The sequence below is a fragment of the Homo sapiens genome, chromosome 8, assembly GCF_000001405.40.
Source record: "Homo sapiens chromosome 8, GRCh38.p14 Primary Assembly".
Lineage (NCBI taxonomy): Eukaryota > Metazoa > Chordata > Mammalia > Primates > Hominidae > Homo > Homo sapiens.
The window spans coordinates 38,396,269-38,413,869 of record NC_000008.11 but is presented as its reverse complement, the minus strand read 5'-3'; the positions used below and the strand labels follow the sequence as shown (position 1 = coordinate 38,413,869).

Here is a 17,601-nt window from a genome sequence, read left to right as displayed (position 1 = left end):
GCACGCACCTCCCTGAGCAGGGAGGAGGGGCCCGGCCCATCGCTGCTTCCTCTCGCCCATCACAGGAGTACCTGGACCTGTCCATGCCCCTGGACCAGTACTCCCCCAGCTTTCCCGACACCCGGAGCTCTACGTGCTCCTCAGGGGAGGATTCCGTCTTCTCTCATGAGCCGCTGCCCGAGGAGCCCTGCCTGCCCCGACACCCAGCCCAGCTTGCCAATGGCGGACTCAAACGCCGCTGACTGCCACCCACACGCCCTCCCCAGACTCCACCGTCAGCTGTAACCCTCACCCACAGCCCCTGCTGGGCCCACCACCTGTCCGTCCCTGTCCCCTTTCCTGCTGGCAGGAGCCGGCTGCCTACCAGGGGCCTTCCTGTGTGGCCTGCCTTCACCCCACTCAGCTCACCTCTCCCTCCACCTCCTCTCCACCTGCTGGTGAGAGGTGCAAAGAGGCAGATCTTTGCTGCCAGCCACTTCATCCCCTCCCAGATGTTGGACCAACACCCCTCCCTGCCACCAGGCACTGCCTGGAGGGCAGGGAGTGGGAGCCAATGAACAGGCATGCAAGTGAGAGCTTCCTGAGCTTTCTCCTGTCGGTTTGGTCTGTTTTGCCTTCACCCATAAGCCCCTCGCACTCTGGTGGCAGGTGCCTTGTCCTCAGGGCTACAGCAGTAGGGAGGTCAGTGCTTCGTGCCTCGATTGAAGGTGACCTCTGCCCCAGATAGGTGGTGCCAGTGGCTTATTAATTCCGATACTAGTTTGCTTTGCTGACCAAATGCCTGGTACCAGAGGATGGTGAGGCGAAGGCCAGGTTGGGGGCAGTGTTGTGGCCCTGGGGCCCAGCCCCAAACTGGGGGCTCTGTATATAGCTATGAAGAAAACACAAAGTGTATAAATCTGAGTATATATTTACATGTCTTTTTAAAAGGGTCGTTACCAGAGATTTACCCATCGGGTAAGATGCTCCTGGTGGCTGGGAGGCATCAGTTGCTATATATTAAAAACAAAAAAGAAAAAAAAGGAAAATGTTTTTAAAAAGGTCATATATTTTTTGCTACTTTTGCTGTTTTATTTTTTTAAATTATGTTCTAAACCTATTTTCAGTTTAGGTCCCTCAATAAAAATTGCTGCTGCTTCATTTATCTATGGGCTGTATGAAAAGGGTGGGAATGTCCACTGGAAAGAAGGGACACCCACGGGCCCTGGGGCTAGGTCTGTCCCGAGGGCACCGCATGCTCCCGGCGCAGGTTCCTTGTAACCTCTTCTTCCTAGGTCCTGCACCCAGACCTCACGACGCACCTCCTGCCTCTCCGCTGCTTTTGGAAAGTCAGAAAAAGAAGATGTCTGCTTCGAGGGCAGGAACCCCATCCATGCAGTAGAGGCGCTGGGCAGAGAGTCAAGGCCCAGCAGCCATCGACCATGGATGGTTTCCTCCAAGGAAACCGGTGGGGTTGGGCTGGGGAGGGGGCACCTACCTAGGAATAGCCACGGGGTAGAGCTACAGTGATTAAGAGGAAAGCAAGGGCGCGGTTGCTCACGCCTGTAATCCCAGCACTTTGGGACACCGAGGTGGGCAGATCACTTCAGGTCAGGAGTTTGAGACCAGCCTGGCCAACTTAGTGAAACCCCATCTCTACTAAAAATGCAAAAATTATCCAGGCATGGTGGCACACGCCTGTAATCCCAGCTCCACAGGAGGCTGAGGCAGAATCCCTTGAAGCTGGGAGGCGGAGGTTGCAGTGAGCCGAGATTGCGCCATTGCACTCCAGCCTGGGCAACAGAGAAAACAAAAAGGAAAACAAATGATGAAGGTCTGCAGAAACTGAAACCCAGACATGTGTCTGCCCCCTCTATGTGGGCATGGTTTTGCCAGTGCTTCTAAGTGCAGGAGAACATGTCACCTGAGGCTAGTTTTGCATTCAGGTCCCTGGCTTCGTTTCTTGTTGGTATGCCTCCCCAGATCGTCCTTCCTGTATCCATGTGACCAGACTGTATTTGTTGGGACTGTCGCAGATCTTGGCTTCTTACAGTTCTTCCTGTCCAAACTCCATCCTGTCCCTCAGGAACGGGGGGAAAATTCTCCGAATGTTTTTGGTTTTTTGGCTGCTTGGAATTTACTTCTGCCACCTGCTGGTCATCACTGTCCTCACTAAGTGGATTCTGGCTCCCCCGTACCTCATGGCTCAAACTACCACTCCTCAGTCGCTATATTAAAGCTTATATTTTGCTGGATTACTGCTAAATACAAAAGAAAGTTCAATATGTTTTCATTTCTGTAGGGAAAATGGGATTGCTGCTTTAAATTTCTGAGCTAGGGATTTTTTGGCAGCTGCAGTGTTGGCGACTATTGTAAAATTCTCTTTGTTTCTCTCTGTAAATAGCACCTGCTAACATTACAATTTGTATTTATGTTTAAAGAAGGCATCATTTGGTGAACAGAACTAGGAAATGAATTTTTAGCTCTTAAAAGCATTTGCTTTGAGACCGCACAGGAGTGTCTTTCCTTGTAAAACAGTGATGATAATTTCTGCCTTGGCCCTACCTTGAAGCAATGTTGTGTGAAGGGATGAAGAATCTAAAAGTCTTCATAAGTCCTTGGGAGAGGTGCTAGAAAAATATAAGGCACTATCATAATTACAGTGATGTCCTTGCTGTTACTACTCAAATCACCCACAAATTTCCCCAAAGACTGCGCTAGCTGTCAAATAAAAGACAGTGAAATTGACCTGAGAGAAAATGAAATGGCCGTTTTACTTAGAGGACCAAATTGGGTCTCCTGAGGAAAGGAATCCAGTTTATCTAATGAAGATGTTGTGCCATGAAGGCACTGAGTCTGTCTGGTTTCCTGAGGGTTAAAAGATTAGGGCTGGGATCACCACAGCATTAATCAATACTGCCTTTCCGTCTCTTCTAATTGCCATAGGCTGGAGATCATCGGTCCCTTGGCCCTGCTAATGTAATGTATTGATCTCAGGTAAGTAAGATTGAGCATCAAATGAGGCAAGAAATCTGTCTCATTGTTAATGAGGTTGCTGTGCTTATTCGCCACCACTGGGTGGAGCCAGCGAGCTGAAGTTTCAGTTGGCATTAGGTGAAGCACCAGTCCGCTCTCAAGTCACATTGGTCCAACTACTACCTGCTAGTGTGTGCTGGTGGTGAGTGGGAAATCTTTAGCCTAGATTTGGCATTACAGAAAAACTGGGCAGCACTGATGTGGCTCGTTTTGGGATGATTTTAGAATTAGACATGACACAGGTGCAAGGCCCTAAGTGTCAGTGGCCACCACCTCTCTATTGTAGCAGAATTGTGTGTAAGACCCAGGACACATCTAGCATCACTGTAGTTGGGTTTTTAGAGAATGCCTAAAGTGGCCAGGCATGGTGGCGCATGTCTGTAATCCCAGCACTTTGGGAGGCTGAGGCAGGCAGATCACCTGAGGTCGGGAGTTCAAGACCAGCCTGGCCAACATGGTGAAACCCCATCTCTACAAAAATACAAAAATTAGCCAGGCGTGGTGGTGCATGCCTTTAATCCCAGCTACTCCAGAGACTGCGGCAGGAGAATCGCTTGAACCCAGGAGGCAGACGTTGCAGTGACAAGATCGTGCCACTGCACTCCAGCCTGGGTGACAGCAAGACTGTCTCAAAAGAAAAAAAAAAAAAAAAAAAAAAATCTAAAGTCATACCCAATGAGATCATTAGTGGCAGGTAGAGCCAAGGCATCTGCATCTATAGAGAAGGGAGCAGAGAGGAGAAAGCTCTGAAACAGCTGGCACAGCCTTCCATTCCCTCCACTGAGGAGAGCCAGGGAAGAAGGTGGTCAGTAAGAACCCAACTGCTAAGACTTGGTCTGGGCGGGTTCCTTCTAGGTGGACCGTCAACAGTATTCAGGACCATTTCCACCATACTGCCCTACATGCAGGTCTTCGCGTGCAGAAGGGATCTATTTCATAAACATGCTAACTAGAGGTGTAACTTTCATTACCCCGGGAGGCTCAAAGAGTTGGTGGTTAACGATTTACCAGAACACCACTAGCTGGGGCTAGATGTAAGGATCACTGAACCCAACAGCCAAGCACCCTAAATGATGAGAACAACAAAACATCCTTGACTTCTCTGAGCTGCTAGCAGAAGAGTGGGAGGAGAGGTCTATCAAGTGGCCCGGGTCCCTTGACCAGGTCACTGCTCATTCCCACCCTGCTCGGAGGGAAAGCCAGAAGGAACTGTAGGACAGCCCAGCAGTACCTATGACTCATTCAGCTAAAACAGAATTGAGCAAGTTTAGCTAATCCCTTTCCCACATTTAACACCTGAAATGTGGACTAATTAAAATACCCGTCATTTTTGAAATGGGAAAGTGTATTGTGAATCACCTCGATAGGCAGGATCCATGATTGCTGTATGTGCACAGTAGGGATTCATCATTCCCAAAGAACTGGGCTTCATTAGTGGGACATGGTGGGGCTTCTCTGATGGAGCACAAATTTAGAAAGCATTGTAGAATGCATATTCTTGCTGTGAAGTGCTGGTGACATTCCTCATTTAGGTGATCCCAGACAGGACAGTGGAGTTTTACTTGTTTTAACTGACTGCTGTCTAACCACAGCAAGTAAAGAAATCTAATTTTATCACCTACAGGCTGAAATACCTTTGGCCTTCTAACCACTCCCCAGGGGAAGAAAGCCCTTGGTCAGCTGCATGGCAGTCTATCTATTATTTCATATTATTAATACTGAAAACACCAAGCATAAATATCCTAATGTAATACTTGTTGCTGGGTAGCACAGGGATTATATCAGACTTTCACAATCCCTATGACTAATAGTCTTATTTGTGAAAGACAAACTGGCCAGAAACACACACACCCAACACAAACATGGTTAAGGCTTAAACCCTTAATTATGCTTCCTAGCAAAATGGTGGCTAATGAAAGCCATATGTGCTAGAAGAGTGGCTGCCTCGCAGATTGCGGCTGCCTCACAGATTGCTGCAGCCTCTGCAGGCCCAAGATGGAGGTGTCGGAAGCAGCCAAATCTTTCTGATTGCCAGTCTGTTTCTCCAGGAAGCTTCATTATATCCAGAAAGATCTTACTGGGGAGTATATCCATCCCATCTCATAAGGTACTTTGTTTCCAGGGTGCTGATCCTACTGGTGGATCATTCAGAAAGTTAATCAGGTGCTCCTAAAATGGTTTTTGGAACTTCCAAGTTCTTACTCAGAATTCCAAGCCATAGGAGACAGGTATCTAAGGTGCCAAGCTGATTCCATTGTGCAAAAAATTTCCTCTCTGAAGGGACGTACACATGAAACTAAAAAAACAACATGATGGGGGGTGGGCTTTATACAAAGTTGAGTGGGGTGACAATGGTACAGAGGAAATGGGACTTTGCAATTATATTTTTCTAAGTGGTCTGAACTTGGTCTCACTACCCACATCACCTGGAATGGTTACCAGGCCTCAAAGGACTGCCCCACGGGCTAAACAGCTGATCCGCTCTCTGAAGCCAGACAGTCTTATCTGGGAGGTCCTTTACAGATGCCACTGTTGAGGGCCGGAAGCTGAAGAGAGTGAGCTCCATCCTCAAGTAGTCCTTTATGCTCCTTTTGAACTAGCCTTGCTGTTCTGGGCCGTCATTTGTGATTTGGCCTGGAGTGTCTAGGCGTAAAAAACAAGGACTGTAGGCATTAGTCACAGACGTGTAAGTTCTTAAGGAGTGAATGCTATTTTTGTTTTCTTAATCAAAATAGTGACCACAAAGTCAAATCTGAGATTATAATTTACCTTGGTAATAAAAGATAAAGGAGATTTACAAAAAACAAGGTATGTGTGTGCCTTGGGATGCTTTTCTGGGCTTACCCCATCTGTGTCTTCATAGATTCTCTGTCCTGCCAGCCATGTCTTTGGTCCACAGGAGCCACTTCCCACTTCAACTCTCCCACAACCTCCCCACTGTTTACTCTCTTCATGCCCTGTGCTCTTGCCCCAAATCCCTTCACCCAATTGGGAAAACTGGATGATAGATAAGTAGTTTCTTATTTACATGCATTTCTCTGGAAATTAAAGTTGCTTTCCAGCTAGTATTTCCTCACGTCGGAAGCATGTGTAAAATAACACATGGAAACTATTTCCACCTGGCACATAAGAAAAAAAGGGTCTGCCTATATTGTAACTGACTTCTACACTTTGCATGTTTTAGTCTGACCCACAATTTTTTTTTTTGGATAGTTGAAGTAAAAAACGTGGTTACAAGATGACTAAAGTTTGGCCTACAATTTCCTGTTTGGACAACAGGAAGAATTGTGCAGTGTTTTGCAACAGGACTAATTCTAGATTCTCACTGCCCTTAAAGATAACTAGAGGGAAAGGGTCTTCTCTTTCTTTTTCATTTATTAAAGATACTTACAGGTTCTTCAGAAGAAGTGATGGGTCCTTTAGGTAATGAAATAGGTGTTGATGGTGTTATGGGTGATGATGTAACTGGTGGCGGCTGTATAAAGTCTTCATCCTTAAACATCAGAACTGAGAGTTGGGTTACTGATTTAAAAGAAAATGTGTATTAATCTACAGTCCACTACCTTGACTACCAGGAACTTGTCACAACTACCTCATATCCTGGCACAGGATTCAAAAGGCAAAATCTGGAACCTAATTACGTGTAGCCAAATATTAAGCTTCCTCTTAGATCAAACAGTACAATAAATATTCCTTATTAAGGAACATTATTGTATTGAATTTCAATTTCATTAAGGGGATTAAAACAGGAGAAAATGACCCATTGCTATTTTCATTTTTTAATCTAATTAACCAAATGGAAAGTAACTGTCTAACCTTAGTTCCCTTCAGTTGAGGTGCAAGATCCACCATGTTCTCTTTAGATTCAGTGAAAGTAGGTAATTCCACAAGAATATCAGTCTTTGGAGCCTGGGGAGATAAACATTTTATGTATCATAAGCTTTCTGCTCTTCCTAAAACCCAGAAACTTTTACAGTAGTCAATGCCTTTTTTAGCACTATTTGCTTTCCACTAAATCCCTAACTTCCTCCTCTAGCTACACCCTTTATGAGTAACCTATGAAATATGCCCCTGATGTAGCAACTTAGTATTATTTCTCTTTGAGTTTTGAGTACTTTATATACAAAAGTTGCACTCTGATAGATTCTAGCATTTAAAATAATCATTAGCAATCCACTGATGGCACTGGTCCTGCTGTTGGCCTCAAAAGCCATTTCTCAATTATTTGTTTTTCTTTTTTTCTTTTTTTTGGAGATGGAGTCTCACTCTGTCACCAAGGCTGGAGTGCAGTGGCTCGATCTCGGCTCACTGCAACCTCCACCTCATGGGTTCAAGCAATTCTCCCTGCCTCAGCCTCCTGAGTAGCTGGGATTACAGGCGTCTACTACCATGCCCGGCTACTAATTTTTGTATTTTTAGTAGAGACGGTGTTTCACCATGTTGGCCAAGCTGGTCTTGAACTCCTGACCTCGGGTGATCCACCCACCTCAGCCTCCCAAAGTGCTGGATTACAGGCATGAGCCACTGCTACTGGCCTCAGTTATTTTCTAATAGCATTGATGTAACTTGGTCTATGTTGCATCTTTTTCATTTTTAGTATCTAATAATAAATGATAAAATTGCCTGATTTACTAAAATGGTAAGCTCCTATAACGCAAGGAAGATGGGGAGAGGAGTGGTATTAAAATAGATAACGATAAGAATGGGAGTGGTGATAGAATAGCTAGCTAACCTATCTTTAGGAATTAGATTTGAAAAACATATATCACTGTGCTTTGGAAGTAATTTGTGGACTTTGGAGGGATAAGGCTACATACATCCAAAATTACAGTATATTTGATGTCTCTATTCTTCACAGAACCTAGCATGCTACTTGTTCTCATTTTGTATATATACATGGAGAATAGAAGTTTAAAAACATGGGTGGGAAAAAGCCAATAACTTGCTTAGGAGCTTATCATTTTGTCCTTAATTCCGTTCTCACCCACTCCAGAAAGCAACATCTGGATAAAGAGCTTATGGCCCTCTAGAATAATTCTGAGAACCCAGATTTAGCTGAGACAGTGAGCTCCTCCAAGATTTCCTTGCCCCTGACAGCAATCTAAGAATGACGATTAACTTTGGTCTGTCTCACATGAGTGGATCCAAGAGTTGGATAGAATAAGAACCCACTAGCCTGCCTTTTAGAACATGGTCTATACTCTGAAACTGCTCCTAGTCTCCCTAGAGTTTTTCCTGGACAAATCCCAAAACCAGATTACTCTAGAAATATGAAAAGGGAAAGCAAGATGGTGTTTCCTGAAGTTGGGTTTTCATATTGGACTTCAAATAATTTTCCTTGGCTTGTCCAAGGAGTCAACAGCATAATTAAGATGTAAAACGACTGGCCCTCACTTAGTACTTGGACTAGTCCCCTAAACCACAGTGTAGCATATTCTACAAGAATCTTTCCTTTCTTACTCATGCCGGGTTCTGAGTCAGACAGGAAGCCACCAGCTAGAGAAGCGGGAGGCCCTTTCTGATGGGCCCAGAGCAAGATGCTGTAGTGACTGGGCCAATCTTATGCTCTTCCCTACAACACCAGGAAGAAAAATGATTAAGGAAATGAGTTGAAAGACATTCTAGATAAGCCATTCAATGCTTAAAGACTAATAGGAATCTGGACAAATGAAATAGAACAGGAACCATTCAGTCTAAAAGGAGAAAGCAGCAGAAACACCCACACCCACACACACCAGTCTGCTAATGAAGATAGTTAAGAAAAAGGAATAAACTGCTCCTATTAGTAAAATTCTCAATCAAGCTGGGCTCAAAGGCAGTAGCAGCCTTAAGGCTGGAGGTAAAACTGAGTGGCTTCAGTTTTCTGTTTTGTTTTGTTTGAGACGGAGTCTAGTTCTATTGCCCAGGCTGCAGTGCAATGGCGTGATCTCGTCTCACTGCACCTCCGTCTCCCAGGTTCAAGCAATTCTGCCTCAGCCTCCCAAGTAGCTGGGATTACAGGCGCCCGCCACCACGCCCAGCTAATTTTTGTATGTTTAGTAGAGATGAGATTTCACCATGTTGGTCAGGCTAGTTTCAAACTCCTGACCTCAGGTGATCCACCTACCTCGGCCTCCCAAAGTGCTGGGATTACAGGCGTAAGCCACTGTGCCTGGCCTTCCTTTGTTTTGTTTGTTTGTGGTTGGTTGGTTGGTTTTTTTAGAAATTTTTAAAACACATAAAGCCAGTTGGGTCAAATTCTAAAAGGCCAAAAGAAATGCCTGCTCTAACTGCAAGAGTACACCAAGTGTTTGTGGAGAGGCCTCAGTTGGATGGACGTCGAGGGTCCCCATTAACCCAGGTACTCACCTCCCCACTGAGTGGTATCTCAATCGGCTTGGGCTTCACATCTATCAGGTAGAAGGTGCGGGACAGGAGCAAAAGGGAAGGAGGGACGTTCTCCTTCAGGTGGAGGTCCTGCCACTGGAGAACGGGAGGGGAACAACACGTGAGAATCAGAACACCAGAGCCAGAGTGATCCGCGGTCATCTACCCTCCCTGGCTGACAGCTTCCCACCGCCCCCGCCCTTTCCGCCAAGCCGCTCAGGTGATGAGTCACGGCAGAACACGGACAAGAGCCCAGCCCTGGCTTCTGCACTGAGGGGGCACCCTACAGCCTCCCTCACTATGGTGGAATCACTCTCAGAGAGGGAGAATTCAATTAAACTCTCAACCCAACTGTGGATCAAAGTAGTCAAGTATCTTCTGTTGGACAAAGTGTAGATAATGTGAAAGAATAAATCACAGCCTGGGCAACACAGGGTGACTCTGTCTCTACAAAAAAATTTTCTAATTATCTGGGTATGGTGGTACATGCCTGTGGTCCCAGCTAGGAAGGCTGAGGTGGGAGGATCGCTTGAGCCCGGGAGTTTGAGGCTGCAGTGGCCTGTGTTAGTGCCACTGCACTCCAGCCTGGGCGACAGAGTGAGACTCTGTCTTCTTAAGATCAGTAATATATGCACAAAAGATAAAATTCAAAAGGTACCATAAAAAGTATTCACAAAGCTTCTGCAGTGACAGTGTCATAGCCAACGTTCAAGAAATACATGATTTTAAGGATCTTTCTCTACAATGTGCTGTCTTCCAACCAGAGCTGGTCCCACACATGAGAGGAAAAAGTAACCTAACATGGTTTCCAAGCCACACCATGGCTGGTAACCTAAGATCATCTGTGCATTCTTCATGGCATTTCTTACAATGATGAGAATGAAATGTAATAGGAGTTACTCCTTTGTTTTAAAGCATTGATGCTCTTACTTGAAGTCCAAATATGCTATCTGAGGAAAAATATTAAACATGGGTTACCACAGTGTGTGCTGGTTTGGGGCACTAATTGAAAAGCAGCCCCAGGTGGGCCACCAGGCAAAGTGGGGACCTCCAGACAGATTCACACAGATGACAGGCCTTGAACTGAAATTTTTGCCAGGACCCGTTACACTACGTGAAGTAGGTCAAAATTCTAAGGTGGTCCCAAGACACCTTGTCCCTGCAATACCCACACCCTCTCCTAGTTATTCAACAGTATTCTGGCTGCTGTGTGAAGGGATTCTACAGGTGTAACTGAAGTCCCAAGTCGGTTGACCTTAAGATAGGGAGATTCTTTGGATGGGCCTCACCAATCACATGAGACCTTAAATCTGGGGCTAGAGGTCAAACACGGGGGAAATTGGAGATTTCAAGCATGAGGAAGCTCTGGCATATGAGAAGTTCTCTCTTGCAGATGAAGGAGGCCAAGAGGCAAGGAATACAGGTGGCCACTAGATGCTGAGAGTAGCCCGGGGCTCACAGCCAGCTGGGAAACAAAGACCTCAGTCCGACAGCTGCAAGGAACTAAGTTCAGCCAACAAACTGAATGAACTTGGAAGCAGGTCGTTTCCCACAGCCTCCAAAGGAGCACAGCGTGCACTTCTGACCTACCAACTGTGAGCTAATATACCAGTGTTGTTTTAAGCCACTAAGTTCATGGTCATTTCTTAGGCAGCAATACAAAACTGATAGAGATCCCAATCAAAGTGAAAAATCAACCTAGTCCTTCAGCATCCCACTGCTCAATGAAATAAGGCAAATTAAGTAAGACGGTTCACTTGCAAAGGAGAAATCACATAAGGAGGTCTGCATATTGTAGGAGAGAGTTCTAGGGAAGAGGACCCCAGAGGGGCGCTGCTACTTGCCTCCGTGAGCTGTTGTCGCAGTTGTTCCTCCGTGAGACCCAGTGATCTCATCCCTCGGGCCCTACAGGCAGCCTGTAGTTCTGATACACTCAATGCTGTCACCCCTTCCTTGGCAATTATCTGAAAGAAATGTAAGGGATGGAGTTGGAACTTTTGATTCCAATTTTACGTAAACCCTAAATTCCAGCAAATCAGTGGAAACAGAATCAGAGGCTTGGATGCTTTGTCCCCTGCACTGGCTGCTACTGCAAAGGCGACGTAGGGAGGTGGCAGTTGAAATAATGGGAATCCTGCCAACAGGTATTAGCAATTAGCAATATCAGGGCTATTTACACAACTCCTTCCCAACATTCTGTCATCAGAGTAATTATTTCCCTTTTTGATCTGCATTTTGTCTGGTTGTGACATACATACTTTTCCATGGCAGCTTTATGGTTCATTAGAAAAAAGTAGTTCACTTGAAAAGCTCACAATGTACCATTTGTTGCATGTCCCTGTAGTGTTCTCCCCTGCTGTCCCCCCAACACCCCCAGAAATGGCCCTAACACACTGGTCCACAAAACTCCCTCAGTAAATAACACAGTTTCTGCTTGGCGTAACCCAAAACAATGGTATTTCTGGGACCAGTGTTGTTTATTCCAAAGCTCTAAGAGCAACAACTGAAATCTAAATGGGGCCAAAAGGATCATGCTTTCTCAGTTCTGGGAAACCTGCTCCCCCAGGTGGAATGCTTATAAAGCAGCTGATTCTGAGTCAAACATTCCTTCCATTTTTTAAAAAAGCCTAATTAGTAGTTATAGTCCAAGGGTGCCTTTCTTCTACAAGGTGTTGAGGCTCTGCTTTTCCTCCCAGTATTATGCTTTGCATACCAAGCCAACTACCCCTTCTTGGCAGGCCAATGCGCCCGGCAGAATATTGACTTTGGCACCAGCTTCCCGGTATGAGAGCAGAAGTGTGGGAGCAGAGCTTTGTCAGGAATCTACTGAGCTGCTGTTTCCTTCCCAGCAGGTCCTAACTGCTTTAGATGAGTCCCAGCTAAGACATCCAAATTACTAACTGCTTATGATGGCCTTCTCAAGAAATGGGTAAGGGGATGACAACTCCTCAAATGAGTAATCAAGGTTCAGGTTGTCATGGTAATGGTTGTTTAAACCACTCATTTTGTCAGAACCCAACATGACCAGACCCAACAGAAAATAATGCACTTCTACCCAGGCATGGTGGTCACACCTGTCATCCCAACACTTTGGGAGGCTGAGGCGGGTGGATCACTTGAGGTCAGGAGTTTGAGACCAACCTGGCCAACATGGTGAAGTCCCATCTCTACTAAAAATACAAAAATTAGCCAGGTGTGATGATGTGTGCCTGTAATCCCAGCTACTTGGGAGGCTGAGGTGTGAGAATCACTTGAACCCGGGAGGTGGAGGTTGCAATAAGCCAGGATTGCGCCACTGCAGCCTGGGTGACAGAGCAAGACTTTGTCTCAAAAACAAAAACAAAAACAAAAAATACTGCACACTTCATCCCACAGGCACCCTAAGGTATGTCCCAAAACCTTGCTAATTCCCTAGAGCTATGGTTAAGCTCTTACTTCATCATCTGCTTTTATAGACTTCAGTTTCATCAGGAGCTGAAAGCGGAGCAGGTTGTTGGTTCCAAATGTCTGCAATTCCAGCAGTTTGCAAAGGGCAACCAGCTGAGGGCGATCTAAGTGTTCCAGGGCCAGCTGGTCCTCAAATAGTTTGGAGAAGCGAACTATCTCCTTTGTGCTGGGCTTGTGGCCTGTCTGGACCTATGCAGTGGGACAAAAAGGCCAATTAAAATGTGTTTTCTACTTAATTTAACTTTCCCAATAGGCTATTTGAAAGAGACATCAAAGCATTTATGGGACTCTGTCTGACATCTGGAAATCGGCTTCGTGGTATAAAGAAAAGATATCCATCTGAAGTCAAACTACATCAGCTGAAAAATCAGGAGTTTGGAAGTTTGACTCTAAATCTACTGTTCTCTCCAAGAAGTTATCAATGTCTTCAAAACGTTGATTACTTTAAGACAGGCTTTTCTGCAAACTACTATCAATGTTTATAATATTAAATGTTTACAATATTATATGTTCATAATTTAGATATTTGCAATTCCAAAGATGGTGAACAATTTGGGAAATCCATGATGACATGCGTTTTTCATAGAACGCCCAGCCCCGAAGTTGTTCGGCATTACATAAAAGATGGACACCTGCTTCACGTAGGATGAGAGCTGTGTAGAGGCATCGCCCATCTTGGCTCTGTTCCTCCTTGCCATTTCTGTCATGGTTTCTTGAAGAAATTTTGCTAGTTCCAACTTTACAGCCATTTTCTTTTTCTGTTTTTCTTCCTTAATGGTAGAAGAATAAAAGTTACTCAATCCTTCGTGATTGTAAATTGGTAGATAAAGATGGGAGAAAAATAACTGTCTCCTTGTTATTGCTCATCCCTACATCATGTAATAACGTGATTCTCAGGCATAGATGAATGGGTTTGTGAGACCAGAGCAAGTAAAAAGAAGCCTCTATTTGGAACTTGTCTCCTTACTTTTTCTTTCTCACTAATACAATAATCATAAGCATTTGATAGATCCAAAATGTTCCCCCAATGGGAGGCTTTATAATTATTTAGCACGAGATACTATCTCTCTCTCTCTCTCTCTCTCTCTCTCTTTTTGAGATCAAGTCCCACTCTGTTGCCCAGGCTGGGGTGCAGTGGCACGATCTCGGCTCACCGCAACCTCCACCTCCCAGACTCAAGTGATTCTCCTGCCTCAGCCTCCTGAATAGCTGGGATTACAGGTGTGTGCCACCACACCTGGCTAATTTTTTTTTTTTTTTTTTTGAGATGGAGTTTCGCTCTGTCACCCAGGCTGGAGTGCAGAGGTACCATCTTGACTCACTGCAACCTCTCTCTCCCGGGTTCAAGTGATTCTCCTGCCTCAGCCTCTCGAATAGCTGGGATTACAGGTACACGCCACCACACCCCGCTGATTTTTTATTTTTAGTAGAGTAGGGGTTTTCACCATGTTGGCCAGGCTGGTCTTGAACTCCTGACCTCAAGTGATCTGCCTGTCTCGGCCTCCCAAAATGCTGGGATTACAGGCTTGAGCCACAGCGCCCAGACAAGAATGAGATACGATCTCAACCTGGTGCAAACTATCCAGTCTGCCAGTTGAGCTAACTCCTTGAGTGGCCCTGGGTTTTTCTTTACAAACAAAGAAAACTAGGAAATGGACTCTACCTAATGTGGCTTACAGTTTAACTAGAAAACAGACATAAGTAATTACAATACAGTGAGTTAAGTGCTCTAACAGACATGAACACAGCACTACACAGAAGAAAAGTAAATGGACACTGTGTTGGCTGGTGTTTCTTAATCCTTGTTAATCATCAGAAATGTAGTATGGTAGCATTTTCAAAATAACCACAGTCAGGACTCAGGGTGGTAAAGAAGAACAGGAATCTACGTATATTTTTAAGTTGCCTAGGAGATTCTAATGATCAGCCAATCATAAGAATCACTGATATTTAGATAGATCTTAAAAGATACAGCCAAAAAAAAAAAAATCACACAATAGTATGATCAGAACCCACTTAGTGGCCGGATGAGGTGGCTCACACCTGTAATCCCAGCACTTTGGGAGGCCGAGGCAGCTGGATCACCTGAGATCAGGAGTTTGGGACCAGCCTGGCCTGTCACGGTGAAACCCTGTCTCTACTAAAAATACAAAAATTAGCCGGGCGTGGTGGCACATGCCTGTAATTCCAGCTACTCAGCAGGCTGAGGCAGGAGAATTGCTTGAACCTGGGGGGAGGATGCAGTTAGCCGAGATAACGCTACTGCACTCCAGCCTGGGCAACAGCACGAGACTCTGTCTCAAAAAAAAAAAAAAAAAAAAGAACCCACTTAGTCATCCATTTCATTCATCCATATCCTTCCATCCATCTATCCATTTATTTATTGCACATCTACCATATTAGGTACTGGGGATAAAATGAGCAACAACAGGTAAGAATTCCTGCCCTCATGGAACTTTTAGTGTAGTGGGAGAGACAAACTTTAGTGACTAATGATAATCCCACAATTCCTCACATTAATATAGAAGCATAATGGGTAAGTGCTATGAAAGAGAAATACATGGTGCTGTGATCTGATGTAAACAGAAAGCTCCTCTCTCCATGGAACAAAGCAAACAAGAATTTTCTGAGACTGTGGCCATGATGTAGACATATTTGTATGTTTCAGGGAATGAGTGGTGTTCAGGAAAGAGGTAACATTTAAATAAATCACTTCCTCTATTCCCCCCATCTTCCTGAATTCACTAATACTTTCCTTGGAATGTTATGGCATTAATTCTAGATGCTGATTATTTTAAATGTAAGCAAATTAAAACATTGCCAGGCAGTCAAATATTGTAATTTGATTTATCCTGTGAAGGTATCCCGAATTTGTCTTCAAGTCTCTTTTTTTTTTTTTTTAAGACAAAAATCTCACTCTGTCGCCCAGGCTGGAATACAGTAGCATGATCTTGGCTCTTGGTAACCTCTGCGTCCCAGGTTTAAGTGATTCTTCTGCCTCAGCCTCTGAAGTAGCTGGGACTACAGGCACGTGCCACCATGCCAGGCTAATTTTTGTATTTTTAGTAGAGATGGGGTTTCACCATGTTGGCCAGGCTCGTACTGAGCTCCTGACCTCAAGTGACCCACCCACCTCGGCCTCCCAAAGTGCTGGGATTACAGGCATGAGCCACCACGCCCGGCCTTCAAGTCTTTATTCTTATTGTCAATTTCATAATGTATTCTCTGTCATCTCTCTCTTGGGCTAGCATTCCAGCTGGTTTCCCTTCCTTGGCTCTACCCTCTGCTGCCCCTCCTGCCAGCAAAATTATTCCTCCAAAACATAGATCTAATCATGTCATCCACCCAGCTACCCTGCTTCAAACGTTCCCTTTCCATTATTCACCATGGTGAAAGGGAAAGCCTAAATTCCTTAAGTGGGTGGATGCCTTCCAACCTGACCCCAACACATCACTTTGTCTGTTTCCTGTCATTGATGCCCTGGAACTGCCTACTTCAACCACAAATAACCAACCAGTGGTCTCTGATTACATCATACTCTCTTATGCCACTGAGCCATGTTAAATGCTATTCCTTTTATCCAGAATACCTTTCCCAGACCATGGTAAAATGCCACTTACTCTTTAAGTCTCAGTTCCAAAGTTACCTTTTCTGTGAAAAAGTTTCCAATCTTACTGATTTAAAAGTTGCCCTTAAAATTAGCTGGGTGTGGTGGCAGGCGCCTGTAATCTCAGCGACTCAGGAGGCTGAGGCCGGAGAATTGCTTGCATCCGGGAGGCGGAGGTTGCAGTGAGCCAAGATTGTGCCACTGCACTCCAGCCCGGGTGATGGTGCGAGACTCCGTCTCAAAAAAAAAAAAAAAAGTTGCACTTTTTGTCTTCTCATAATGTTTTGTTCACACTTTCTTACCATATGCTGTCAACGCTGTCTAGTAGAGTGGCACAGAACGGGGAGAAGGAAGGAGCTGCCTCTGTTTTCTCACCGGCACAGTGACTGCCACACTCAGTGAAGGCTCCCTCTTCTCAGGGGCTGCTGAACTGTCTGTTGGGCTGACTAAATCATACCTACTGTTCCACTAGTCACCGCGGTAACAGTGGATTTCTGTTTTCTTTATTCTTTTTTTTTTTAAACAGGATCTCACTCTTGCCCAGGCTGGAGTGCAGTGCAGTGGCCTGATCTCAGTTCACTGCAGCCTCAACCTCCTGGGCTCAAGCAATCCTCCCGCTTCAGCCTCCCAAGTAGCTGGGAATTCAGGTGCATGCTACCACACTTGGCTAATTTGTTTAAAATTTTTGTTTTTTAGAGACAGGGGTCTCACTATATTGCTCTGGCTGGTCTTGAACTCGTGGGCTTAAACAATCCTCCCACCTCAGCCTCCCAAAATGCTGGGATTACAGAGATGAGCCACTGCATCCAGCCTGTTCTCTTTGTTCTTTTGACAGTTAAAATCAAGTTAGAATTTAGTGGAGAAGAGAAAATCTTTTCAACAAATGGTCCTGGAAAAGCTAGATATCCACATACAAAAAAGAGAGAAATGAATCTATATACTGACATTACAGTTTTCATAAAAATTAACTCGGCCTGGCGCAGTGGCTCACGTCTGTTATCCCAGCACTTTGGGAGACTGAGGTGGGCAGATCACCTGAGGTCAGGAGTTCGAGACCAGCCTGGCCAACATGGCAAAATCCTGGCTCTACTAAAAATACAAAAATTAGCTGGGTGTAGTGGCACATGTCTGTAATCCCAGCTACTTGGGAGGCTGAAGCAGGAGAC

The 17,601-nt window shown here is 45.1% G+C and overlaps 2 protein-coding genes and 1 long non-coding RNA gene across 33 annotated transcripts in view, besides 6 other annotated features; 2 read left to right on the top strand and 1 right to left on the bottom strand.

The window, feature by feature from the left end:
- The window catches only part of FGFR1 (fibroblast growth factor receptor 1), a 57,493-nt gene extending 54,766 nt beyond the window's left edge, over positions 1-2,727 (top strand). For 11 of the 14 annotated variants that reach the window (NM_001354368.2, NM_023106.3, NM_023105.3 and 8 more), the window contains one exon: positions 66-2,727. In NM_001354368.2, the coding sequence (NP_001341297.1) occupies positions 66-242 (177 nt within the window). In that variant the 3' untranslated portion in view covers positions 243-2,727. The remainder of the gene's footprint in view (positions 1-65) is intronic. The other 3 variants (NM_001354370.2, NM_001354367.2, NM_001354369.2) reach the window with 1 other exon arrangement.
- Positions 111-784: an enhancer, noted in NCBI's record as "OCT4-H3K4me1 hESC enhancer chr8:38270604-38271277 (GRCh37/hg19 assembly coordinates)". NCBI's record gives its function as "activates a minimal SCP1, AML or CMV promoter by ChIP-STARR-seq in primed H9 embryonic stem cells {active_cell/tissue: H9 hESC(primed)}" and the evidence as "EXISTENCE:reporter gene assay evidence [ECO:0000049][PMID:30033119]".
- Positions 785-1,457: an enhancer, noted in NCBI's record as "H3K27ac-H3K4me1 hESC enhancer chr8:38269931-38270603 (GRCh37/hg19 assembly coordinates)". NCBI's record gives its function as "activates a minimal SCP1, AML or CMV promoter by ChIP-STARR-seq in primed H9 embryonic stem cells {active_cell/tissue: H9 hESC(primed)}" and the evidence as "EXISTENCE:reporter gene assay evidence [ECO:0000049][PMID:30033119]".
- Positions 859-13,782, top strand: LOC102723716 (uncharacterized). Its single transcript, NR_188043.1, has 4 exons — positions 859-2,976; positions 10,775-10,976; positions 12,234-12,310; positions 13,082-13,782. It is a non-coding gene; the product is annotated as an uncharacterized LOC102723716 (long non-coding RNA).
- Positions 4,070-4,119: a silencer, noted in NCBI's record as "silent region_19126". NCBI's record gives its function as "represses an Ori minimal core promoter by ATAC-STARR-seq in GM12878 lymphoblastoid cells {active_cell/tissue: GM12878}" and the evidence as "EXISTENCE:reporter gene assay evidence [ECO:0000049][PMID:35858748]".
- LETM2 (leucine zipper and EF-hand containing transmembrane protein 2) overlaps positions 4,343-17,601 on the bottom strand; it is a 27,097-nt gene continuing 13,838 nt past the window's right edge. For 14 of the 18 annotated variants that reach the window (XM_017013056.2, XM_017013053.2, NM_001363204.1 and 11 more), the window contains 7 exons: positions 13,461-13,598; positions 12,817-13,017; positions 11,226-11,345; positions 9,364-9,477; positions 6,832-6,924; positions 6,407-6,508; positions 4,343-5,658 (listed from right to left, as the gene is read on the bottom strand). In XM_017013056.2, coding sequence (XP_016868545.1) covers positions 5,596-5,658; positions 6,407-6,508; positions 6,832-6,924; positions 9,364-9,477; positions 11,226-11,345; positions 12,817-13,017; positions 13,461-13,598 — 831 coding nt within the window. In that variant the 3' untranslated portion in view covers positions 4,343-5,595. Of the gene's footprint in view, positions 5,659-6,406; positions 6,538-6,831; positions 8,588-9,363; positions 9,478-11,225; positions 11,346-12,816; positions 13,018-13,460; positions 13,599-16,737; positions 16,955-17,601 lie in introns of those variants that run through there. The other 4 variants (XM_011544410.3, XM_047421383.1, XR_007060702.1 and 1 more) reach the window with 4 other exon arrangements.
- Positions 8,056-8,557: an enhancer, noted in NCBI's record as "OCT4 hESC enhancer chr8:38262831-38263332 (GRCh37/hg19 assembly coordinates)". NCBI's record gives its function as "activates a minimal SCP1, AML or CMV promoter by ChIP-STARR-seq in primed H9 embryonic stem cells {active_cell/tissue: H9 hESC(primed)}" and the evidence as "EXISTENCE:reporter gene assay evidence [ECO:0000049][PMID:30033119]".
- Positions 9,208-9,707: an enhancer, noted in NCBI's record as "OCT4-H3K4me1 hESC enhancer chr8:38261681-38262180 (GRCh37/hg19 assembly coordinates)". NCBI's record gives its function as "activates a minimal SCP1, AML or CMV promoter by ChIP-STARR-seq in primed H9 embryonic stem cells {active_cell/tissue: H9 hESC(primed)}" and the evidence as "EXISTENCE:reporter gene assay evidence [ECO:0000049][PMID:30033119]".
- Positions 13,287-13,788: an enhancer, noted in NCBI's record as "OCT4 hESC enhancer chr8:38257600-38258101 (GRCh37/hg19 assembly coordinates)". NCBI's record gives its function as "activates a minimal SCP1, AML or CMV promoter by ChIP-STARR-seq in primed H9 embryonic stem cells {active_cell/tissue: H9 hESC(primed)}" and the evidence as "EXISTENCE:reporter gene assay evidence [ECO:0000049][PMID:30033119]".